The following is a 26867-nucleotide window of genomic DNA, read 5'->3' on the forward strand; positions in this document are numbered from 1 at the left end:
TATATTCATTTGCGAGTTTTCTTCTAGTCTTCTCTGTCTTTATCTTCTACCTCTTTTACTTGATAAGAGGAGTCCCAAGACTAGTACTCAATTTTGCATTTCTTTCTCATTTTTCACACAGCATCTGCTAAGGTAAAACTGTTACTAACTTATTGGATGGTTGACTTCAGCATATTGATTTTGAAGATTTTGGACTCTATATATGCATTTAAGGATAGTATTTCTATCTCTATAAAGTGGAATCTGGAACCAGATCCAACAATAGACCACTTAGAAAATATACTTTGTTCTATTATATTGAATTCCAAGTGTTCTCATTTATACAATTTGTACCAAATGTTAGATTGGAAGACAAAAAGAAGTTTGGGAGCACAGATGATTCTTCAACCAATTTCTCTATTTTAAAGACATAGTTGAGGCAATTAGATATCAAATAATCTGAGAGACAAAAAATTAGATTTAAAATAATCATAATGGTAACAATAGCTAATATTATTGAGTATCTACTGTATGTCAGGCATGGTTCCAAGCACTTTATGTTCAGTCCTCATTGAATTATCCCAATAATCCTAAGAGATAAGTGCTATTGTTATCCTCCTTTTGTTGTTGCTGTTGTTATAGGGTCTGGCTCTGTCACCCAGGCTGGAGTGCAGTGGTGCAATCTCAGCTCATTGCAACCTCCGCCTCCTGGGCTCAAGTGATCCTCCCACCTCAGCCTTTTGAGTAACTGGGACTACAGGCGTGTGCCAACATACTAGTCTAATTTTTCTATTTTTTGTAGAGACAGGGTTTTGTGATGTTGCCCACGCTGGTCTCAAACTCCTGGACTTAAGCGATCCACCACGTCAGTCTTCCAGACTGCTAGGATTACAGACATGAGCCACCATGACCAGCCTGTTATCCTCTTTTTATAGATTATGAAATAGAGGCTTACAAATGTTATGCCCACTTAATTTAAATTTACAAAGCTAATAAATATCAGACAAAGATTCAGATCCAGGTTTGTCTGACTCCAGAGACAGAACTTTAAACCATAAAGCTTAGAGACCTGGATTTGTGGAAAAAATAAAATAAACCATAAAGCTATATATCTTCATTTTCCCATAACACGTTTTTGAAATCATACAGTTCAATCAATTCTCTTCCTCCTGGAATAAAGCTGATTAAAGAGTTAGAGAAGTTGATGAGTTATAATGAGTTACAAAACAAGGAGTATTTTCTCTCCCTTTTTTTGCAAATGAAAAATGAGGTATTTGGAAGAGATGCTTTTTTTAAGCTTCATGACTTTGGTGATTTGGGAATAGAAATAGTAATTCTACCTCATTCCAATACCTTAAGTAAACTCAGCCACCTCGCTGAGCCACACTGGTCCCTCCTGAAGTGACCCCAGGATCTGCATCACAGTTTCAGAATTCCTCATCAGTATCCACCATGCTTAGAGCTCTGCTCTCCTGATGCCAACATCCCCACTTTTTTTGGTTCTTAGCAAACTCTTTCTCTTTGTGGAGCATTTTCCTTGGTGACTAAATTTAGACTCCGGCACACAACAGAATCTGTCCTCTGGCCTTATATGCTAATACTTTTGATAAATGATGCCTCAGTAGACTCCCAACTCTGGTCCCTATGGATCCCACCTTCACCAAACTGCTACCCCTTCATCCCCAGCCTCACACACACACACAGGAGGGAGGAGGGTCGGACAAGAGGGAAAATACCATAACCATGGAAGCAGGTAACGTGCTTCTCTCTGGCAATACCTGGCCATGTCACATTTCTAGAAACTTGGGCACTCATCGGCATAAATCTTACAAAGAGGGGCCTAAAAGCATTGTCAGCCTCTGGGGTGGGAGTCCAGGGATATCACAAAACACAAAGTTGTCTTCAAAAATCCAGTCATACTGTGCATATTTATCTGAGAAAAAAATCTCAAGGAAGAAATTCTTAAACTTCTCTGCCTCACCCATTTCAAGGTCTGATCATGTATTTTTCAGGAGGAATAGTCAAAAGTAAGGCAATTTCAAATGAAGACACCAGGAAAAAAATGTGAAGTGATTGTAACCAGCGAAAATAAAATTTAGGATTTGTTGGCAGTGTTTGTTGAAGAAGAAGGAAGAAAAGGAGTAGGAAGAGAGAGAAGGAAGGAACGAGGGAAGGAGACGAGGAAGGAAAGAATTAATAAGTCTGGTGGGGAAGAAATGAATCCTTTGTCAAAAATATTTCAGATGCTGAAATTCTGTTATTGTTTCTAGCTAACTAGAACGTTCTCCCTTTCCCTTTCGGCTGGATTATTTTCTTCTCATTCTTCAAATCTCACTTCCTCCTTCAGACTTCATCAATTCGTGCTTCCCTTCACTGATATCCATTCAGTGATATTTATAGTCCATTTATATGTATGGCCTTTGATTTTTGTTTAAATTTCAGCAATTGCTCACTGCCCATCCTGACTGGCCTCCTCCAGCACAGCTCCTAACACCCCTCACCCTGCTCACAAACACTCGTCGAGTCCAAACCAGCCTGGCAGGTAAGGCCTTCCATAATTTGGCTTCAACTCATGCTTCCAAACAACCTTATTTTCAGCTCTTCACTTCTTATGAATAACCATACAGCAGTGACCTTAACATTTTGATGGCAAACAGTAATGCTCACCACGTTCAGGTCACAAGCACATGTCTTGCTATTAGGAGAGTTGTAAAGGAAACAGCAGAAGCAGTCCCTCCCCAGAAAAATGCACAGTCTAATGGAGGTGAAATTAACTTCAGCAATAAACTTAAGATTCATATTGAAGAGGCACTTGCACTGACTCAGAAACTTTCTGCAGAGAATCTGAAGAAGAGCAGGAGCAGCAAGACAGAAAGCACTCAAGAGGTGACTTCGGAGGCTCAGTCACCAAACAATAGGCAATGTTGTTCTCTAAGCCTTGTACCAAAACTGATAGGGTAAAGGGTCTTCCAAATACAACTTTATTTATTAACAATCCTCCTTTATTCTGGTCCACCTGAGGCTACACAAATGTACCCTCTTCTTAAAGAAACTGATTTGGATAGACAGGGAATAGGAGATTTCAATCCTGCTGAACTAGGTTGCTTCTCTTATGAAATCAGCCTGCAATAGACTTTCAAAAGGAATTCCAAGTAGGCTTTGAAAATAATGGGAGGAGTAAGTGGCCCATCAAGCCAACATTTGCTTGAGCCAGAGGACTTGCTCACCGAAGACATTGCTGGATTTCTTATCTGACTAGTCAGTCAAGAAAATTTACTTTGATGACCATAAATGGACATTTTTTACAATGATCATTATTTACAGATGCAAGTGCTGTGTGAAATATAGTACTTAAACTCAACTATAATTTAACACTACCTATTTCCATAATGAGTGTTCAAAAGGATGAATCAATAGACCTTCCAAGAGAACATGTAATAGCTTTTAAGAATATAGGCGTGCTTCAATTATTTGAATTAAAATCAAAATTGAGGAATACAAATTTTAGCTTTTCTTTCTCTGTAGGGTTAGCAGTAAATCATCAAAGAATATACTCAATTTCATTAGTTTGTATAAACAAGACATATCTGATTTGAAAAGTAATAACTCAAGAAAGGAAATATGTGGACTTGTTTTTCATTCAAATATAGATATATACTTGTAACATGAAGAAATTGACTACTGGCGTGGCTTGTTTTGCACTGAAAATAAACTAAGAAACCCCTATGCCAATATAACTTGTGAACTCAAAATATCTGAGACAGGTCTCAGTCAATTTAGAAAGTTTGGTTAAGGACACACCCATGACACAGCCTCAGGAGGTCCTGACAACAAGTGCCCAAGGTGGTCGGGGTACAGCTTGCTTTTTAGGGAGATATAATACATCAATCAATACATGTAAGATTACATTGGTTCTATCTGGAAGGGTGGGGGAGGGTGGCTTCCAGGTGATAGATAGATTTAAAATTTTTCTGATGTCAATTGGTTGAAACGCTTCTTATCAGTAGAAAGGAATGTCTGGGTTAAGATAAGGGGTTGTGGAGACCTAGGTTTTATCATGGAGGTAAAACCTCCAAGTAACAGGCTTTCAAGAGACTGTAAATGTTTCTTATCAGACTTAAGGTCTGCATTGATGTTAATGCTGGAGGGGGTATCATGAGACATGTCCAACCCCCACTTCCCATCATGGTCTGAGCCAGTCTTTCAGGTTAAATTTTTTGAGTGCCCTGGTTGGGGAGGAAGTTCATTCAGATGGTTGTGGAAGCTTTCAAATTTTATTTTTGGTTAACAAACTCATTCTACCCCCTAAATATTAGATTCCTCTATTTTGGAACTAAAGTAAGCAAGAACAAATGATTGTTTTTAGTAATGTTTGTTTCTTTGCTTTTTACATTACTCTAAACCAGTTGAAAATTTTTCATTTAAAAATTATTTTGAGATTTTAAATTATTTGTTGTTATGTAGGTTAAAAAACAGTTATTTGAACTAAAGTCAAACTCATTTGTGTGTGTAGACACAATCATTATCATCATCACATGATTTTACATATTTTTTTAAAGCAGGCATTTTCTACTCATACACAAGCTACCAAAGAGAGGTGTCCCTACAACTCACATAGATGGCAGTAATGTTGACTGAATTTTGTACCCTCCACTCTAGACTCTTCTGACAGAGTGAGTGCAATGATGTGGTTTTATTTAATGTTTCCCCTTCCTGGACCCATAGATACCATGACTTAAAAGCATGGATTAATGTTTTTTCTGGAAATTTCTAAGCATAATTACAAAGGGTAGCAAAAAAACCCACACCAATAACATCGCTACAGTTTTAGTGATCATCTCTTGAGACATTGATCACATTCTGCTTTGTGTCATTGTTATTTTCTTTAAACACAGGCAGGTTATGCCTTGTTCATTTTTCTATCTTCCACAGTGCTTAGCTGTGCATATTATAGATACTCACTAAATGTTTGTTGAGTGACCAACCAAATAAATGAATGACTAATGATTGCAGCCATACTTGTATGCAGAAGAAAAGAGTGGAACAAACCCAGTTGTAATCCTTTCCTTGATGAAATAAAAAAATTAGATTCTAATGCAGCAGTTTGGATTTCAGTATAACTAACCAAGGTTCTTCTCAATTAACTTTACTCTCAATCACAAATTAAAGAGAAAAAACATGAGTGCCCCTCTGAAATTTCTTAGAAGTCTTTTATAATTCTGATGAAGAATAAATATGACTTACAGAGTTTGGGGGGTTTTCAGAGTTGAAAGTTTGGGGGAGGGTTGCTTTGACATTAAAGTACATCCTCCAATCCCTTCCCTTCTTTATGGACACACACACACACACACACATCAGATGTTCCATCTGAAGAAGTTTTTGGGTGCCTCTTGAGTTAAGGCTGGCCTATAAATACTGACACTTTCCTAGGGTTTTGTCTTTGGCCCACATTTCTTCCTAGTCTTCATGTTCTCATTGAGTGATGCTATTCACTTCCATGGTTTTAACCCCCATCCATATGCTTAGAACTTTTAAATCATTACCCCTAACAATGACACTGTCTTAAGCTTCAAATTTATATATTCAGCTGCCTAGAAAATCTCTATTTCTGGACATTCCTTACTTTCCTAAATTCAAAACTTTATTTTATTATTATTATTGTTATTATTATTATTAATTATTTTGTAGAGACAGGGTCTCCCTATGTTGCCTAGGCTGGTCTCCAACTCCCAGGCTCAAGTGATCTTCCTGCCACAGACTCCCAAAATGCTGGGATTACAGGTGTGAGCCACCACACCCGGCCAATTTAAAACTTCCAAAACCTCATCTCCCCACTCTCTCACACCAAAAACAAAACAAAACAAAAAAAGGCTAAATGTCTTCTTTCAATTATTAGCATTTCCATCTATCTAGTCACACAACACAAAAACCTTGGGTTGTTTCCTAAGCTTAGGGTCAGAAAACTATAACCCATGGATCTGTTTTTATAAATGAAGTTTTATTGGAACACAGCATCAGCCATTGGTTTTGTCAATGGCTTCTCTCTCCTACTGCAATGGTAAAATTGAGTTCAACTGAGGCCAAATGGCCCAGCCTAAAATATTTACTGTTTAGCCCTTGACAAAAAATATGTTGCCAATCCCTGTTTTAGACCGTTCCTTCTCTCTAAGATTGCAAAGCTGCCTCTATTTTTCCCTTCTAGATATTTCTCAAATTCTTCCCTGTCATCTCTTGAATTTCGGCTCTGATCTTCTTTCACCTGGATTATTGCAGCAAATGCAACTCCATCCCTCACTTGTCACCAGAGTGATACACCTAAAACACATCTTGATTGTTATACTGTTGGGGGCAATTCTTCATTTGCCTGTAACATCTCTGCACAACTTGTGAGCAGAGATACTAACAGCTTTTGTTCCAGACTGTATTTTCTTTTTTTTTTTTTTTTGAGACAGAGGCTCTCTCTGTCGCCCAGGCTGGAGTGCAGTGGTGCGGTCTCGGCTCACTGCAACCTCCGCCTCCCGGTTTCATGCCATTCTCCTGCCTCCGTCTCCTGAGTAGCTGGGACTACAGGCGCCCGCCACCATGCCCAGCTAATCTTTTTGTATTTTTAGTAGAGACGGGGTTTCACCATGTTGGCCAGGATGGTCTGGAACTCCTGACCTCGTGATCCATCCTCCTCAGCCTCCCAAAGTGTTGGGATTACAGGCGTGAGCCACCGTGCCCGACCTATCCAGAAAGAATGTTTTATACAAACATATGTCTCCCTTCAGGAAAAAAACAAAAATATGCCTGCCTTCAGGAAAAAAAGCAGATCTGTTTGCTATCCACTATAATAAAGATAATATATCCCTCTAAGGCAAAGGTTGGGCAGGTTTGCATGCATCTCACTTACAAAATATTGGGAAATCCTAAGCTCAGGGTTTCTCGGCTGTAATACAAACCCACTGCATGCACAGCACCTACCTGGACCCACCTTCCTGTGGCCCCCTTAGAACTCAGAGAACAAGATAAACCAACATAGACATGAAGCTTATGCTGCCTGCTGTGCGATGGGTAACAAAGTGTCTTGTCTCTGACCCAGGAGTCTTGTGTCTTCTACAAGCATCTGTGAAACGATAGCAGCCTAACTTGATAGCTTGCAAGCAGGTTAAAATCTCAGACTCTTCACTGTTCTTGGCAATCACTCCATTCTTATTTCTCTTCCTCATCTGTAAACTGAAGTCCATGCTCTTCAGCCTGGGATATAAGGCTGTCAGTGACCTGAGCGCACCTCTTCCTGTAGTCACATCTTCTCTATTCCCCCCTCACAATATTCACTGATAATTCATAGCTGTTCATAGCTCTCCAGTGAGCACATCCTATTCTGTGTCTTCCCACATTTGCTCATACTGAATTGTTTTCTAATCTCCCCAAACAAATTTCTCCTTTTTCTCTGCCCCATCCCAGCCTTCCTTGGCCTACAACCTCCTTTTTATACTTCAAACCCAGTTCAGGCATTATCTTCATCTAAACTGGCCAAACTCAGTGCTCTTCTTCCTCTAGGTTCCTAGAGCACCAGGAGAACAACTTAACCATGGTCTTTGCCATGTTTTTGGAAGTGTGCATTTGTGTGCCTGCCTCATCCATCAGACTTTGAGTTTCTTGCATAAAGAGACAGTAGCTGCTTCACGTTGGTGCCCCCAGCACCTCATTCAATGGATGCTCAGGAAATTGTCATTTAACTGACCTGAACTGAAATAAACTAAACTGATAAAGTAACCCTAAGCCCTTTAATTCTCACTTGGGAGAAATAAAAAAAAAATTATTTTTACTTATATTCTTTTTTTTTTTTTTTTTTTTGAGATGGAGTCTCACTCTGTTGCCCAGGCTGGTGAGTGCAATGGCACGATCTCAGATCACTGCAACCTCTGCCTCCCAGTTTCAAGCGATTCTCCTGCCTCAGCCTCCTGAGTAGCTGGAATTACAGGCGTCCATCACCACACCCAGCTAATTTTTGTATTTTTAGTAGAGACGGGGTTTTGCCATGTTGGCCAGGCTGGTCTCAAACTCCTGACCTCAACTAATCTGCCCGCCTTGGCCTCTCAGAGTGCTGGGATTACAGGCATGAGACATGACTCCCGGCCTTTATTTTTACTTGTATTCTTACTCTGGGGAGATTTCTTTCCTGCTTCCTTTTTAAACACAATTTTTCCATTTAAAATATGATTCATTAAGACTAAAGACCTTCCAGAGGAGGTAAGAAATATCAAACTCTAAAGGTTTGATATTTTCCCAAATGTAGTTATATTCTCCAAACCATGCTGGGTTTGCCAAATGATTCCTGATATCAGTAACTGAAAACAGTCCAATTCTTTAACACTATGCACTTAAGAAATATACTAAATAGGCTGGGCGTGGTGACTCACATCTGTTATCCCAACAGTGTGGGATGCCAAGGTGGGTGGATCACCTGAGGTCAGGAGTTCAAGACCAGCCTGACCAACATGGTGAAACCCTGTCTCTACTAAAAATACAAAAATTACCTGGGCGATGCCTGTAATCCCAGCTACTCGGGAGGCTGAGGCAGAAGAATCACTTGAACCCAGGAGGCAGAGGTTGCAATGAGCCAAGATGGTGCCACTGCACTTCAGCCTGGGTGACAGAGCGAGACTCTGTCTCAGAAAAAAAAAAAAAAAGTATATAGGTAGAAATGGGACATGCTCAACCTTCAGTTCTTTTCTTTCTTTCTTTTTCTTTTTTTTTAAATAGAGTCTCGCTGTGTTGCCCATGCTGGAGTGCAGTGGCAATCTCGGCTCACTGCAACTTCTGCCTCCCAGGTTCAAGCGATTCTCCTGCCTCAGCCTCCTGAGTAGCTGGGATTACAGGCATGAGCCACTACCCCCAGCTAATTTTTGTATTTTTAGTAGAGACGGGGTTTCACCATGTTGGCCAGGCTGGTCCCGAACTCCTGACCTCAAGTGATCCACCCGCCTCAGCCTCCCAAAGTGCTGGTATTACAGGCGTTAGCCACCACACCCGGCCTCTACCTTTACTTCAAGCTCCATTAGAAATCCAAAAATCTTCCACCTCCCTAGTTCAAATGCAGAGCCTTAGATTAAATACAGATCCATATTGTAGTAAGACAACCAGTTCACAAAAACAAGTTCACCCTTTTCTGAATGTTTTACTTACTACCAGTGGAAAGTGTAAGGTGTCAAACTACATAAACATAATCCATCATGTGCTAATAAATTAATGACTCCAGAAATACACATTTAGACTTCACGAGTGGTAGTGGTTCTAGAACTTGAAATATCTTATTGAAACATTTAGTTATTAATAAGAAAAACAGAAAATGTTTGCTATGAGAATATGTTTCTCATTGTCTTGTGAATACTTTAGTATTGGATAGGAAGTCTAAAGCTTTCTAATCTCTTTTGCTTTCTTATAAAAGTTTTATGGTTAGCATATTGTTGGGGCTCAGAAACCAGTGCCCCAAAATGTGGAGCTTTGACATGCTGAACTGAAGAAGGCTTAAGGTCACTTTGACTTCCCCTCTCCCTTGACACTGTCTCTCCCAAAGCACAGGATGAAGTTGAAGTTCCTTTATTTACCTAAGATCCAGACTCATCAACAGGAGCAATTGCTTTTTCTTCTCTTTCCTGTAAGACCAAGAATGTAACCATCCCTGGCCAGACCCTGTCACAAGATAATGTATAAATTAATCCCTGTTGCCTAATCCATTCATTCTTCCTGGTGATCCTCCCAACAGAATTTCCGTTCTCCTCCCTCCCATAATATGCTTTGTTAGGATAGTATATAAACTTCTGAACCATCTTGGGGGATAAGTAATCACCCTGTGGTTCTCCCTTGTACACACATTAATTACATTTCTATGCCTTTTCTCCAATTAATTTACCTTTTGTGAGTTGATTTTTCAGTGAAACTTCAGAGGTCAAAAGAGAAGTTTTCCCCTGACCCTACAACATCTTTTAAAGACAGCAGGAGAAGACTTTCAAGCCTATGGCAAAAATAGTTTATGGCCGATTTCAAAGGTATTGGTAATGACACACACATACACACAGCCTGTATTTGTCTATTTCCTCAGAATAAAATGCCATTAAAACAAAAGTTTAGAATCTTGAAAATTAATCAATGCATTCATTATTAGAATTCTAAAGGTACAGATGCTCAGTAGGGAAATATGTTCAAGACAGTTAGAAAGCAGCTTTCCAATAATGTTAACAATGAAAAATTATCACAATATTTGCAAAGGAGAATTGCAACAAAAGACTTGTAATTCATTAGCTTTAATTTATCCCTGAATATCAAGGGGATTAAATTAGTTTGCATCAGACTTTGATGTTAATCCTGAAGAATTTATTAGCTCCTTTCTAGCATTGCTTTAGACGTACTTTCTTTTCTTCTAGAAATTCTCAGATTTTAACCACTCAGGTACCAGGAAGGTTCAGCAGAACATCAATGTAAAATCACCAGTCATTCAGTCTTGGATCCCTGAGACAGCTGCAGCCAGATTTAATGTGGGACATGCCAAGTTTCCACTGTGCTGATAGTTTGGAGGGGTGTGAAATATTCTCCCAACGAGGTGAGGTTTCCTTGTATGCTGGTATTTAACTGGGCATGGCCAACTCTGTTAAATATGAGTAAATAACAGGCAAGGTATAATAGCTGTCAGAGGCATTTGAACCAGAGCAAGTCCATCTTGAAAAGGGGCTGGGTAAAATAAGGTTGAGACTTACTGAGCTGTATTCCCAGGAGGTTAGGCATTCTGAATCACAGGATGAGATAGGACGTTGCCACAAGGTACAGGTCGTAAAGACCTTGCTGATAAAACAGCATGCAGAACAGAAGCCGGCCAAAACCCACCAAAACCAAGATGGTGATAAAAGTAACCTCTGGTCTCCTCACTACTCATTATACGCTAATTACAATGCATTAACATGCATTAATATGCTAAAAGACACTCCCACCACCGCCGTGCGGGTTTACAAATGATATGGCAACATCAGGAAGTAACCCTATATAGTCAGGAAAGAGGAGGAACCCTCAGTTCCAGGAATTGCCCACTCCTTTCCCAGAAAACTCATGAATAATCCGCCTTTTGTTTAGCATATAATCAAGAAATAACTATAAATATCCTTAGTTGACCAGCCCAGGCCACTGCTCTGCTTATGGAGTAGGCATTCTTTTATTCCTTTACTTTCTTAATAAACTTACTTTCACTTAATGAATTTGCCTCAAATGCTGTTTTTCGTAAGAACCAAGAACCCACTCTTGGCGTCTGGATGGAGATCCCTTTCTGGTAACAATAACTACAGCATTCAAACATTTATTATATGAAAGTTTGTGCTTTACTGTCTCAAGTATACTTATTATAATAGTGACAGCAGCGGCGGGCCATCTGGAGCGGCCACTGCCATTACGCCGGCTGCAGCAGAGAGCCGTGGGAAGTGGCAGCAGGAGCGGCTGCAGGAGCAGCAGTGGCAGAGGTCGGCCCCCTGTGCCCCATCCCCGAGGCAGCCGACTGCACCACTGCACCACCCCTGCCCTTGTGCACGGAGGGGCAGGACCCGTCCCCAAGCCCAGAGCCTCCCCAATTCTGGAGTCCGGGCCCTGGAACGCTGCTCTGGCCCGCTGCTGCGGGGAAGGCATGGGGAGGAGGTGGAGCTAGGCCTGGGGCAGTGAAGCACTCCATGGAGCCAGTGGGAGCCAGGGACAAGCAGGAGCACCCCCAGAGCTTGCCTCCCTGAAGCCACTGTGATGGGGCCCGGCCTAGCCGCCTGCTGGAGGGGGAGCAACGCTGTCAGGCACAGAGGGGTGGGCAAAGAGAGGCCCAGTGAGGACCTGGTTCCCGCACCCTAGGCTGCGAGGAGGCGCGTTGCCTGCCGGGGCTGCCTGCACACTCCACAAGAAGCAGGCTCGTGCAGGACTCAGACATCTCTACAGTCTGCACCCTCGGGGCCTGGGAAGGCCCCCAATGCCTCTGCAGGGTTGCGGGTGTCTGCTCCCACTGCCTGGCCTCTTCCTGCTCCCAAAGCCTCAGAGCAGGTTTGGGGACGAGCCTGGGCACTGCAAAAACCTGGCCGGGTGTGCACACACTCAGGGCAGCACTGAGACGCGAGCCCCATCCGGACTTTGGGTGCCGACGAGCACGGGGTTAGGGGAAGCCAAGGAGGTGCTGAGGGCGGCTCATTGCTGGCCTGCAGGTGCCCCTTGGCACAGGCAGCCTGGGCACTATGGGTGACGGCAGGACGCAGACAGGCTCCTGGATGGAAGGGCATGGGTCCCCACCTTCAGGCCAGAGAGGCGACTGGGCTGCCAGTCCCGCAGACCAGAGTGGGAACTTGTGGTGCCTTTTCCAGGCCTGCCCATGGCCGCTCATGGACCAATAGGGACACAGTTCCTTCCCCCTGAGGCCCGTAGAAGCCCCAGGCTCCGCCAGAGCTAGACAGGTGACGGGATTACCAGCTGCAGAAAGGAGATATCCTTTTTGCTGGGAGCTGAACACTTGTTGGGATGACCTGCCGGCAGAGAAGACCTACCCACTCTACTAGGAGATGAATACTCACAGGACACTCTGGCTGCGGAAAGGAGCTGCCCCGCGCTGGTCTCTGAACTGTTCTATCACTTGATAAAGCTGCTCTTCATCTTTCTCACCCTTCACTAGTCTGTGTACCTCATTATTCCTGGATGCAGGACAAAAACTCAGAACCCGCTGGATGGTGAGGCTAAAAGAGCTGTAGCACAAACACAGCTCTAACATGCCCCTTGCTTGCCACATCGCGGGCAAAGAGAAGGAAAGAATTGCTGCGGCCCTTCGGTGAGCCCAGACTGGAGAGCTCTCTGAGCCAGGGCTGTGACTCCCTCTTTGGGGCCCTTGCAGTTCCTGGCATCTTCCAGGTGCCACTGCATCCTCTGTTGCCAGCTAGGGAAGCTGCTTGTGGTGCACCTGGTCCAGCCACAGCTTGCAGAGAGCCAGTGCCCATGGCGGCATATGAAGCTGCCAGAACCCACGCTCACTCACACACCCCTTGCCGCTCCACACCTGACTTGCAGTCTCCCTTGGAGGCATGGGATCCAGGCCGGTAGCGTGGGCTGAGTGCAGCCTGCCAGGCTGAGTGGGCAGAACGAACCCAGCGGACCCAAGCAAAGCTAGGGCAAAGGCGCCACCAGCCACAAGTTTCTGGCCAGAAAAGCGATACCTCGAAGATCCCATAACAACAGACTTTAAAAATCAGGCGGCATCTGGTTACAAAAGGGTGGTGGCAACTGAAAAATCTGTAGTTTATTTTGCAGATCACTATCCACCTCCGCAGCTACCACCTCCTTTGTTCCAAGAAGAATGGCCACTTTAAGATAAAAGCTCTGGGGCCGAGCGCGGTGGCTCATGCCTGTAATCCCAGCACTTTGGGAGACGGAGGTGGGTGGATCACCTCAGGTCAGAAGTTTGAGACCTCTGTCTCTACTGAAACTATAAAAAATTGGCCGGGCATGGTGGTGGGTGTCTGTAGTTCCAGCTACGTGGTAAGCTGAGGCAGGAGAATGACTTGAACCCGGGAGGCGGAGGTTGCAGTGAGCCAGGATTGCGCCACTGCACTCCAGCCTGGGAGACAGAGTCAGACTCTGTCTCAAAAAAAAGCTATGGGCCTGCAGGATGCCTAATATAAAAGGATGTTTTTATGATTGCTTATCATTTCCACTATCTCAGAGACATTATTTCATCACTAATTTTCTGATTCATCACAGTTTATTTTTCTCACTTTAAAAATTATACCATATTGCACATTAAGTTTTCAGTATGTTCATGTTTTTCACAGTTTTACTTTACAGATTCATTTTACTTTTAGATTCATATTGTAGTTGCATCCTTTAGTTGCTGATTGACATTACAGCATTTTCTCCAGGGCAGATAAAAAGCACATACATGTTGTCATGCTTCCAAATGTTCTCCTTTGAAATGAGTCCCCCTTCTAAAGAAGAGGTTTTAATGACAAGGCTAATTCCACAACAAGATTTTAAAGACTTGCAAAAGACAAGTAAGAAACTAGAAAGCTATCCTGTTTTCTGAGAGTGCTACAGTGCTGCAGATATTATAATTTTGTGTTTATTTCTTTCTACATTTTATGACAAAGAAAACATGAATATAAATTAGCCCTTTGTTTCTTTCTTTTTCTTTTTTTTTTTTTTTTTTAAGACAAGGTCTCACTCTGTCATCCAGACTGGAGGGCAGTGGTGCAATCATAGCTTGCTGCAGCCTCAAACTCCTGGGCTCAAGCAATCCTCCCAGCTCAGCCTCCCTAGTAGCTGGGACTACAGGTAAGTGCCACCATATCCAGCTAGTTTTGCTTTTTATTTAATGTTTTTGTAGAGGCAAAGTCTCACTATGTTGTCCTCATTGGCCCTTTATTTTTTAGAAGAAAAACAGTTTTTTTCTATGATTAAAGACCATGTTTTAATTTAAAACTGAAAAAATCTAAATTTGTAACTCCTAAATTAAAAATCCCAATGAGGACTAAACTCTGAGTTTTTATCTTGCCCAAACTCCTATCTAAGGGGTCTGGGAGGTCGTGCCCTGCAAACCATAAATTCTTATCAGATGGGTTTTATTTAACCGGGTATATCAATACTTATTTTCCAACATGACTCTGGCATAACATTATGAGACAAGGAAGAAAATAAAAGTATTTTACCCCAAAACATTTTTCTTTGCCATATTTTGAAATGGCCCTGCAAAAATGTTCTTTGTGAGGGAAAATTTGCATCTGTAAAGAATCTCAATTAACATAGCTAGATCTTTTTCTTTCAGATGCTTCCAATCCTAAAGAGATTAACTAAGATTTAAATAGGAAACATTTGTCATCTATTGTCTCTAAGGGCAGCCACTATAAGACTTCTAAAGAACTTTGGTCTCCACAATCTTAGCCTGAACATTCCCTTTCTGTCAGTCTCAAGTCTTTAGACAAACTCAACCAATTGTCAACGAGAAAATGTTTAAATTCACCTATAGCTTGGAAGCCCCCCGACCAACATTGAGTTGTCCTGCCTTTCTGGACCAAACCGATGTATTTCTTAAATGTGTTTGATTGATGTCTCATGCCTCTCTAAAATGTATAAAACCAAGCTACCAAGCTGTGCCCCAACCACCTTGGGCACATGCTCTCAGGACCTCTTGAGGGCTGTGTCGTGGGCCATGATCACTCATATTTGGCTCAGAATAAATCTCTTCAAATATTTTACAGAGTACGACTCTTTTTGTTGACATCAGCTATGGTTAACTCTATTTTGATAAATTTATGTACATAACTGCATAATTTTATATTGGCTAGTTTCTGTCCAATTGCTGGAAACATTAAAAAGCAGCAATAACATTTGCCCTTTTAATACAAGGGACTTAGTCCAGGTCTTGTCATCAAATCATTGAATCTACTTATCCAAATATATCTGTCCAGATTCTTGTCTCTAAATGCATTTTAGTCTAAGCCACTCATAGTTCTGACCTAGTTTATGTGTGCATATTAGATTATTCTGCTGTGCCGTTAAAAATTCAGCTTCAGTAAAATGGGATTGGATGATTTCTAATCTTATATGTTCAAACTTTCTATGTTCTAGAATTCTCGAAGGAAACAGATATCATGTTCAATGGTTTTTCAAGCCTAAAAATCTGACGTTCTTTCTTAAATGTATTCTTAATCATTTCTGCAGTAATAACTGCAGGCTTTTACTGTCACCTACACAGGAAATACAGCTCAGTATTTGGATGGGAGACAGCACAAGTTATGACAGATACAAACAAATTGAAAGAGAAATACTAGCAATGTTCTAAGAAGCAGAAACTTTCTGATGCCCTGTTCTTATTAAATTGAAATATGAGCTAATGAAAGCAGCAAATCTAAATGTGACATGAATATAGAGACCCCAAGATATAAAAAGAGAAATATAAGAATTCTTTCCAACTAAGCTACAATATGATGAGATATCAGTACTTTCAGAAGAAGGTAAACTTCCAGAGGAACATAGGATCTCATGTTCTCTTAGGAAGTCTTTGGGAAAGAAGAAAAAAGAAAGCTGCCAATATCCTAGCAATAACTCCAGCTCCTTGCTGTTATATACACAGGAGATTCAACTGAACAGAAGGATAAGTGAGAGAGTAGAGGTTTTCATATCTGTCTACATTAGCTTGAGAAATTTCACAGTGAAATTCATCATCCATATTTATGTATCATATTCACAGTTTTGTTATAAATACAAACAGTAAGTCCTCACTTAACATTATCAATAGGTTCTTGGAAACTGCGACTTGAAGCAAAACAGCAACGAAGCCATTTTTACCATAGGCTAATCGACATAAACAAGAGTTAAGTTCCTATGGCATATTTCTGATGTAGGGGCTAAGGGGAAACTTCCCCTTTACCCTCTGAAGTTTCGCTAAAATAAACCAACTGACAAAAGGCAGATTAATGGGAGAAATGGCAAATATCTACATGCACAGGAGAGAAACACACAGTGATTACCCCTATCACCCCAAACAATGGGATACAAAAGCTTGGATAGCCTTTTTTCAGAGGAGAGGGAGGGGATGGGGAATATAGTTAATTCTGTTGATGGGCAATAAATGATTACTAGGTAGAATGAACAGAGAATAGAGATTAACTTGTAAACGGTTCTTTTTCGAAATTCAGTGAGCCCCAGAGACAGACATGATCTCGTGAAAGGGTTCATTCAGGTGTGGTTACACTCTTCGGTCTTCTTTTTTGCAGTAGATAATGAGATAACAGGGAGAGGAAAGTAAAACAATTGTTCTCATTGATGGATCCATCGGGTCTTTATGTAGATAGAAGGAAATGCTCTCCCAGCGTCTATTGATCTTTTAAGGGGCTTTAATTCAAAATATGCTTTAGACTAGGAGGCAATATTTTGAGATGAAATAATTTTGATTTCCTTCTTTGGCCGCAAAAACATCACCAAACTTCTAAATAAAGACCCCAAACTTCTAATATTAAACATTGAAATAAAAGTGATATATTTGTAAACCCAAAAGTATCTGAGATAGGGCTCAATTAATTTAGTGGGTGCAGCGCACCAGCAAGGCACATGTATACATATGTAACTAACCTGCACATTGTGCACATGTACCCTAAAACTTAAAGTATAATAATAATAAATAAATAAAGTTTATTTTTCCAAGGTTAAGGAAGTGCCTGGGAGACAGGTCTGTGCCTTTCTTCAAAGATGATTTTGAGGGCTTCAGTATTTAAAGAGGAGAAGCAGGCTGGAGGGAAAAGAGGGAGGGTATGGTCACATCACTGAATCCACATGTTGCAAGAGAAAAGGAGCAGGTAGGGAAATAGTCAACTATGTACTCGCTCAGTAAATTGACACTTTGCATAAGAGAAAGTGAACATAGAGTAGCTAGCTACCTGTGCAGGTATTTAACCTTTTATCTGTAGCTTTCTGCTTAGGAACAAAAGAAAAGGCAGCTTCTTGCATAACTCAACTTTCAGCTTGATTCTTTTCCTCTTGGCAAGTGAATTTTGGTCACCAGTTTTTATTTTCCTTTCATACATTTAAGAAAGATTAATAAAAAGAAAATTATTTATATGTTCTTGTTGTGACATAAAAAATAAAAACAACAACAACAAAATAATTATTTATCCAATTTATTGTGTATCTGTGAGCAATTGCAATAACGGTGGTGGAATAAATCAACGAATGAAAGTTTGCGGAGCAAAAATTCTAAGGAGTCCTTCCACCATGCAGTTCAAAAACAAATAATCAATATGGCGGGTAACTAAGTGCTTTCACCCCATGTCATGTATTATCATGCATTTGTATGATTATTGGATACTTCACAAATTTTCATTTTACAATAATTTGTATTCATTCATTCATTCCTTTTCCAACCTGCTTATTTCAGTTCAGCATCTCAGATGGCCAGAGCCTATCCTGGCAGCTCAGGGCACAAGTCAGGAAACAATCCTGGATAGGACACCATTCTGTCATAAGGCACACTCACACAGACCCACACTCACTGACACTGGGGCAATCTAGACATGGAATTCACCTCATATGCACGTCTTTGGCATGTGGGAGGAAACCTGAGTAACTGGAGAAAAGCCATGTACACATGCAAACTCAGGAACATGCAAACTCCACACAGTGTCTCCAACTGGGAAGGAAGCAATTTTTCTCTCATCAACATTATAATGAAAGCACATCACGGAAGGACACAATACACATTCACACATTCTCCCAGATATACACCAAACTCTTAATGGTGACTATTTCTGAGGAGTCACATTGTGGAGAATGGGATAATGGAGGACTTTCACTTTTTAATTTGTATAATTCTGTATTACTTATTTTTTATGTGCATGTATTGCTTTTATTCATTCATTCATTTATTCATTTGAGGCAGGGTCTCACTCTGTCACTGTTAGATATGAGTTCTAAATTTCTCTTCAAAGAATCAATATGTCAGTTATGTTCAATTCTTTGCCTTCTACTTTTAAACTTAACTTCCTCATAAAGCAACCTTTTTCGATTACCTGACTCATTCTGATTACCTGCTCCACCCTGACTCATTCCAATTACCTGTTCTGCCCCGACTCATTCTCCAACCTGACTCAGTCTGATTTCCTGCTCTGCCTTAACCATTTTTCCCGCCAAACCACTCACCCCGTCACTCTCTTTAAATTAGCCAATCGGAATTAGTTTAGCCTGTGTGGTCTAACCCTAGCCAATGGGGTAAGGACACAGCAGCAGGGGCCACGTGCATCAGGAATAAGAACCCCTTCTGCTCCTTTGTCCACCTGTGTGCTCACCATTGCTCCATCTGTGAGGGCCTACCCTTCTATAGAAGTAAATAGCCTTGCTGAGAAGAAAAAAGGAAAATTTTATACTCGAGTGCTATTTCTTTTGAGGCACTGAAACTTTATTTATAACATCACCCAGGCTGGAGTGCAGTGACATAATCACCACTCACTTCAGTCTTAACTTCCCAGGCTCAAATGATCCTCCTACCTCAGCCTCCAGAGTAGCTAAGACTGCAGGTGTGTGCCACCATACCCAGCTAATTTTTTGTAATTTTCGTGGAGATGAGATTTTGTCATGTTGCCCAGGTTGGTCTCGAACTCCTTGGGCTTATGGACCCTCCCATCTTGGCCTCCCAAAGTGCTGGGATTACAGGCCTGAAACACTGTGCCCAGCCTGAATTACTTTTAAATATATCTGTTTCCTTTGTACGTTATAAACAGAAACTATGCTATATCCTATAATTTAAAAAAAAAAAACCTGCCTTGGCCAACCATGCTAAGAATTAATTTATGATTAGCTATGCCCTTGTGGCAAGTTTAATAGCTAAAATCTCTTTATTTAGTAATTTGGTAGGATTTTCTCTAGAACAGATCATTTTCTTTATTTTTTCCCTCCATAGGCCAACCATGAGCAAGGAACTAGAACAAATCATTTTAAAGTGAAATCCCAATGTCATATGGACAAGTAGTATATTTTTCCTAGTGTTATTGCCCTTATTCAATTAATATAAATGCAGCCCAGTACTTAATCACTGCCTACCAGGGAACATAAAATCACAATACATGGTTTACCAATTTCCCTAAGAGTGTACCATAGGCGGGAACCTTGAGAACTTCTTTCACTATCCATATTTGCATTTCCCAGTAGGATACAAGTGATGGAAAATATGAGGGGTCTTCAAAATGTTCCTGGAATATGTGTATTATGAAGAAACTATGCATGGATTTTATAAATTTTTTGAAACAAAGTAAACTTCCACTGACTTGTTATAACATGTCTAAACAGGATCTAGTTTGAGGCAATAAGACAGATAAGATGTCAGTTTGAAAAGAGCTCCTATCAGAGCAGCGTGAATTCTACTAAAATTGAAGCAAGAACAAACATCAAATTTACAGTGAAGCTTGGGTAGAAGAATGGTGAAATTATTCATGCTTTACAAAAATATGGGAAGAATGCCCCCCAAAAATCAGCAGTTTTCGAATAGATAACCCCTTTTTTGTTTTTGTTTTGAGACAGAGTCTTGCTCTGTCACCCAGGCTAGAGTAGAGTGGTACAATTAGGGCTCACTGCAGCCTCGAACTCCTGGGCTCAAGCAATCCTCCCACCTCAGCCCCCTGAGTAGCTGGGACTGCAGGTGCATGTCACCACGCCCAGCAAGTTTTTATATTTCTTTTTAGAGATAAGGTTTTGCCATGCTGTTCAGGCTGGTCTCGAATTCCTAGGCTCGAGCAATCCTCTGGCCTCAGTCTTCTAAACTGCTAGGATTACAGGTGTGAGCCACCACACCTGATCCGATAATTCATTTTAAGAGATGAGACAATGTTGAAGATGAAGAGGACTGATGATCAGAGCAGAAACAGTAGCCAACACCTAGACATCTTGATCAGTTCAGCTTACATAATTCTGACTGAAAAATCAAGATTCAGCAAACTTTCCACTTGATGAGTGCAAAAACTGTTGTGCCCAGATCAGCTGCAGACAATAGCTGAGATTTCAATGGAAATTTTAAACACGTAGGATCAAGATCCTGAAGCATTTCTTTAAAGAATTGTAACAGGGGATGAAACATGGTTTACCAGTGCAATCCTGAAGACAAAACACAATCAAAGCAATGGCTACCAAGAGTTGGAAGTTGTCCAGTCAAAGCAAAAGTGGACTGGTCAAGAGCAATGGTCATGACAACAGTTTTTTGGGGGGATGCTCAAGACATTTTGCTTGTTGACTTTTGAGAGGGCCAAAGAATGATAACATCTGCTTATTATGATAGCTTTATAGGAATACTAGAATGGCCTAATACAGGGTTTACATAAGAAATTCAGAAGGTGGCCAGGTGCCATGGCTCACACCTGTAATCCTAGCACTTTGAGAGGCCAAGGTGGGTGGCTCACTTGAGTCTAGGGGTTTGAGACCAGCCTGGGCAACATGGCAAGACCCCATTTCTAAATAAATAAATAAAAAGAAAAAAGAAGGAGCTTACAGTGGGGCAGAATGGAGTCAGATTGTGTTGAGGAAAGTCCAAAGGGCAGATGATTACATCAGTTTGCACTTGTGTTTCAGGAAACTATGGAACATACAAATAGATATATGTCTCCTGAACAACTGGATATTCAACTCTGAAGTTCAGATGAGAGGTGAGGACGGGATATAGTCTAGAGACTTACAAGAATGTAAGTGTTAATTAAAACCACTGAGATAAATCACACTGTGACATTGTGATAAATGGCCGCATTCTACATTGAGTATAGAAAGCAAGAGCAGTGGACTGAGGACCAAACCTTAGGGCAGCCCAACAGGGAAGAGGAGTTTACAAAGGTAGACAAACGGTTAGAGATGCTGGAGGAGTGTGCAGTGTCATAGAGAGAGCTTTGGAATTAAGAGAGTAGTCTCCAGTGTCAAAGGCATAAGACAAATCAGAGAAGCCCAGTGCTGAAAAGTGTTTGTTGAGTTTGGCAATAGGTCAGTCACTGCCGACTTTTCCCAGAGCCACCTCTTGGAAGTGGATAGCGTGGGAATCTAATTACCCTGAATTGGAAAGGTGAACGGGAAGTAAAGGAGTGGAGCCATGTGGTGTTGAGAATTTGTTCAAGAAGATTGAAGAGGCCAGGCCCAGTGGCTTACACTTGTAATCCCAGCACTTTGGGAGGCCAAGGCTGGTGGATCACTTGAGCTCAGGAGTTCAAGACCAACCTGGGCAACATAGCGAAACTCTGTCTCTGCAAAAAAAATACAAAAATTAGCAGGGCATGGTGGCATACGCCTGTGGTCCCAGCTACCCAGGAGGCTGAGGCAAGAGAATAGCTTGAGCCCGGGAGGCGGTGGTTGCAGTGAGCCAAGATCATGCCATTGCACTCTAGCCTAGTTGATGGGAGTGAAACCCTGCCTCAAAAAAAATAAAAAATTAAAAAAAAATATTGAAGGGAAACAAGTGCAAAATGGGGACCCAGTGTCAGAGGTATGCTGCTGTTCTTTAAAAAAAAAAAAAAGTTTTCCAGACAATTAATGTAGTCAGAAACCAGGGACACAAAAATGACTGAGATATGGTTTCTGCCTTCAAGGAACTGACAATCTAGTGCAGGAGAAGAAAACAAATAATCACAGTAAAAGGTAATGAGGAGAGCAGTAATAGCAGTGTGATTAAAGAAGCATGGGAAGAGGAAAGAGAAAGTCCCTGACTCTGCTTAGAGGTCAGGGAAGTTGGTGAATTAGCAGATCAACAGATTGCGGCAGAAAATGAAACAGCTGTGGAACAGCATGACAGTGTGTGAAAGATGGGCACATTTGTTGAAATGAATGTTCAGTATGGCTGAGTGCAAGAAACTGGTAGAGACGAGAGATGACACAAGAAAGGTAAGATTGAGTTCAAATCGCATTGGGCTTTGTTTGCCACATTAGGGAATTTGAAATGTTTCTGCTGAGTGATGAGGGAGCTTACCAAAGAGCTTTAAGCAGGTCAAGCAATATGAACAATTGTGTTTTATAAGCTGGCAGGAGAGAAGAGTATGGTTTGGAGGAAGCAACTCAAGAGTCAAGAAGACCAGTTATGAGGCCACTGTACCAGGTCATTTATGATGGAAATGACCAAAGCAGCAAAGATGGGCATGAAAAAGAGGTACAGATTTTAAAGAAAACTAAAATAATTAACAGAATATGATTATACTGATGAGAAAGAGGAGCTGAATGGGAAGAAGCAGTAAAATTATCATCCAGATTTCTGAATTGGTGGCTGGATAGTTGCTATTAGAATTGAAATGTAGGACCTTTAACAAGAAAGTCTTTGGGTTAAAATATAATGAGTTTAGTCCTGAGATATCTGTGTGACATCCCAGAATAAAAATACCCTAGTAGCCAGTGCAGTATGCATGGGTGGGGCCAGGGGCTGGGTGGGATTTGGAGGTAGATACTCAACTGATAGCAGTTAAAGCAGAATGAACAGAGAGAGAAGGGACTGACAACAGAACCCTGGAGAATACATGTTTAAGGGATACAGAAGTAGAAAGTGTGTCAACCAGCCAATGTGGGAGATGACAGGGAGAGAGCTAGGGAAGAGTAGGAAGATTCTTGAGTAGCACTGAGCCTGGCCTGCAACGGAAAGCTTACAATTTTGTAGAGAGTCTATCCATATATTTGTATGAGTTTATATAGCAATTTAGGTGACCCATAAGGATGCGTGAATTGAACCATGGTAGGGAGTTTGCTGTACATGTAAGTCAGGAGGAAACCGTGTCAAGACATTTGAGGGTGCTAGTGAGATAGCAGTTGAATTTAGATTGTGTAAGGAAGGATGCTGAAGAAATCAGGTGTTCTAGGGATAAGTGAAGGAGCTGGAGCTCTTGATGGTGTTCAAAAGCAAGTATTGTGGTAAAGACATGAAAGAACTGGAAAGATAGGCAGGTGTGGTCAGAGGATGAAATCTGGAATTTAAGATTCCAGAGGCTTAGCTGTTCCAGACAGTGACAAGGTTTAGGGCCTGGCTTTCTAAGTGTAGCAGAGCTGAAGGCCATTAGAGTAGGAAAGCTCTGTAAGCTCCCATAGCACAGAATCATATCTTGAATGTGCATTACATATTTCCTAGCAGTGCCAAGCACAGATGGATTTTCTTTTTGTCGTACAAACAATATGACTACATTTTGGAAAATAGAGGGGGAGGACTATTCACATTCCCACCACCTACACAACTCATGCTCTCAATTGATGTATCTCCTTCCACATGATGCATATAGCTGCATCCATAACTTATATATGATCATCTATTCTTTTATCTTATTTTATTTTTTTTGGGACAGAGTCTCACTCTTGTTGCCCAGGCTGGAGTGCAATGGCAGTATCTCGGCCCACTGCAACGTCCACCTCCCAGGTTCAAGCAATTCTCCTGTCTCAGCCTCCTGAATAGCTGGGATTACAGGCATGTGCCACCATGCCCGGCTAATTTTGTATTTTTAGCAGAGACAGGTTTCTCCATGTTGGTCAGGCTGGTCTCGAACTCCCAACCTCAGTTGATCCACCCACCTCAGCCTCCCAAAGTGCTGGAATTACATGCATGAGCCACCATGCCCGGCATATTATTTTATTTTAAATTAACATTATAATGTAAGCATTTTCCACGTTATAACGAACCTGCCTTTGCAAAATCGTACAGTAAAAGAAACTTGACATAGTGGACTCCATCTTGCTTCTGACCTTCACACTATTCTTGGTCATTCCTGGGTGTGGTCCAAGCTAACTTTAAGAGGAATTTATTTTATAGTTTAACCTTAAACCAAGGGTTATGATAGCCCTTCCCAAAACTAAACCATTTTTGTAAAACTAATGAAAGGCCACAAGGATAAAATTATCCAAGGGGCTTGAACTCTGCTAAAATGTAGATGTAGTTTGTGTAATCCCTTACTGCTCAGGAGTCCTGTTGCCAGAGGTCACAAGATTTGTGACTTCCCCAATTGTTCCTATAAATAACATCACTATTGTAGAACCTAAAATTGGTTTTTTGCAAGACGTTTTTCAGACTGCCTTCACCCAGATTTATGACTCATGACTCAATCGATCCTGTGGCCCCATCCAGAGGCAGACTCAGTGCATGAGGACCATTTTTCCACACCCCTGTGATATCAGCCCCTACCAATCAGTAGCACCCATTCCCTAGCCCCCTGCTCACAAAATCACCCATAAACACCCCTAACTTCTGAGCCTTCAGGGAGACTGATTTGTGTGGTAACTCCAGTTTTCCTGTATGGGATGGCCTCATTTCAATTAAACTCTCTCTACTGAAATGCCTTGATTTCAATGGATTGATTTTTTCTGTGTAGTGGTCAAGAAGAACCCATAGATAATTACAATATAGATTAATTGTTGGGTTCTGGATAAGTGGGGTTTTTATTGGGGGGGAGTTGTTTGTTTTTGAGACAGAGTCTCACTCCATCACCCAGGCTGGAGTGCAGTGGCCTGATCTCAGCTCACTGCAACCTCTGCCTCCGGGTTCAAGGGATTTTCCTGCCTTAGCCTCCCAAGTAACTGGAATTACAGGTACCCACCACCACATCCAGCTAACTTTTGTATTTTTAGTAGAGACGGGGTCTTACCAGTTTGGCCAGGCTGGTCTCGATCTCCTGACCTCAACTGATCCACCCACCTGGGCCTCCCAAAGTGGTGGGATTACAGGTGTGAGCCACTGCACCCAGCCCTTTTGATAAGTATTTTAAATAAAAATTTTGGAATACTATAGATTACTGATGACGATCCTCATTTTTGTGAAACTAAAGAAGAACACTGTGAAACTTCAACCAAATTATCAGGAATAAATAGGGACATCACTCATTTTTGTCTCACTGTTAGAGATGCATGGTCTTCTGACTTCTTTTATCTTGTTGTTGCATATGTTGCTCTTATCTTTTTTACTAACTGCATTCCTCTATCCTTTGAAGTTAGGAATATTATAAAGTTGTTTGGAGTACAAATCAAGGTCTGTAGCTGGTAAGTGCAAAGATGACACTGAATCTGTCTTCCTCCAGGACCAGGGGCTTCCCCTTAGAGGAGTGCTAAGAAGATACTCAGTATATCCTTACCCCAGCCACAAGATAGTACAGTTCTAAAATTTCGTTCAGTTCTCATTTCTCTAGCTGGGGTCAAAGAACATCTCTTGTCTTTTTCTGGGTTGGAAAGATTTAAGTTTCCTAAAAGACTGGCTGATTTAGTGGAACAATCATTCATTGTATCCTATTGCTAAACCTCTGCAGTCTTCTCTAGCAAGAATGAATTCAAAAACATACAAAGAAAAATTCTCATTGTTCAAATTAGAATTAAAGATGCAACAAATTTGCAAAAACCAAAACACACACTTAGGAATCTTTTTCTTCTCTTTCTTTTCTTTTCTTTTTCTTTCTTTCTTTCTTTTTTTTTTATAAGACACAGTCTCACTCACTCACTCTGTCACCCAGGATGGAGTACAGTGGCACCATCTCGACTCACTGCAACTTCTGCCTCCTGTTTATGCAATTCTCCTGCCTCAGCCTCCTGAATAGCTGGGATTACAGGTGTGCACCACCATGCCTGGCTAATTTTTGTATTATTAGTAGAGACAGGGTTTGCCATGTTGGCCAGGCTGGTTTTGAACTCCTGACCTTAAGTGATCCACCTGCTTCAACCTCCTGAAGTTCTGGGATTACAGGCATGAGCCACCATGCCTGGCACACTTAGGAATCTTGAACCCCTGTTTTTGATGGTGAGCTCTGTATTAATAAGAGTTGATAAGAACATGATCTTGATCTGTGATGTAGAGAATTTCAAAAATGTTATTTGAAACACTTAAAGACCCATCGATTAATCATAAAAGGTATGGGTGATTGCTTTTGAAAAAATACTTACAATGTTCAATTGAAAGGATAGATATTCACATATAAACTGTGGTTACAGCTATGTACATCATGTGGAAGGCAACACAACCAATTGAGAACATGAGTTGTGTAGGTGGTGGGAATGTGAGTAATTCTCCCCCTTTATTTTCCAAAATGTAGTTATAGTGTTAGTACAACAACAACAAAAAAAATCCATCTGTGCTTGGCACTGCTAGGAAATACGTAAAGTACATTCAAGATATAATTCTGTGCTATGGAAGCTTATAGATCTTTCCAGTCTAATGACCTTCAGCTCTGCTGAACTTCAAGAGCCCTAAATCTTGCCACTCTCTGGAACAGATAAGCCTCTGGAATTTTAAATTCCATATTTCACCTTCAGATCATAGCTGCCAATTTCTCTCATTGTTTAATGCCTCTACCACAATACTTGTCTTCTAACAACATCAACAGCTCTAGTTTCTTAATCTCCAGAGGACTGCAACTCCAGCTCACAGTCTCACTTAGTCCTAG

The 26867-nt window shown here is 41.2% G+C and overlaps 1 non-coding gene across 1 annotated transcript, besides 3 other annotated features; it reads right to left on the reverse strand.

Annotated features, from left to right (window-relative positions):
* Nucleotides 1-1319: 1319 nt before the first annotated feature.
* Nucleotides 1320-1379, reverse strand: MIR4302 (microRNA 4302). Its single transcript, NR_036188.1, has one exon. It is a non-coding gene; the product is annotated as a microRNA 4302 (primary transcript).
* Nucleotides 13021-13564: an enhancer, noted in NCBI's record as "NANOG-H3K27ac-H3K4me1 hESC enhancer chr12:26038654-26039197 (GRCh37/hg19 assembly coordinates)". NCBI's record gives its function as "activates a minimal SCP1, AML or CMV promoter by ChIP-STARR-seq in naive H9 embryonic stem cells {active_cell/tissue: H9 hESC(naive)}" and the evidence as "EXISTENCE:reporter gene assay evidence [ECO:0000049][PMID:30033119]".
* Nucleotides 14540-15198: an enhancer, noted in NCBI's record as "OCT4-NANOG hESC enhancer chr12:26040173-26040831 (GRCh37/hg19 assembly coordinates)". NCBI's record gives its function as "activates a minimal SCP1, AML or CMV promoter by ChIP-STARR-seq in naive H9 embryonic stem cells {active_cell/tissue: H9 hESC(naive)}" and the evidence as "EXISTENCE:reporter gene assay evidence [ECO:0000049][PMID:30033119]".
* Nucleotides 26495-26664: an enhancer, noted in NCBI's record as "experimental_26717 CRE fragment used in MPRA reporter constructs". NCBI's record gives its function as "activates a minimal promoter by MPRAs in K562 erythroleukemia cells, with activity observed for the non-introgressed 12:26052213 variant allele {active_cell/tissue: K562}" and the evidence as "EXISTENCE:reporter gene assay evidence [ECO:0000049][PMID:34662402]".

The sequence above is a fragment of the Homo sapiens genome, chromosome 12, assembly GCF_000001405.40.
Source record: "Homo sapiens chromosome 12, GRCh38.p14 Primary Assembly".
Lineage (NCBI taxonomy): Eukaryota > Metazoa > Chordata > Mammalia > Primates > Hominidae > Homo > Homo sapiens.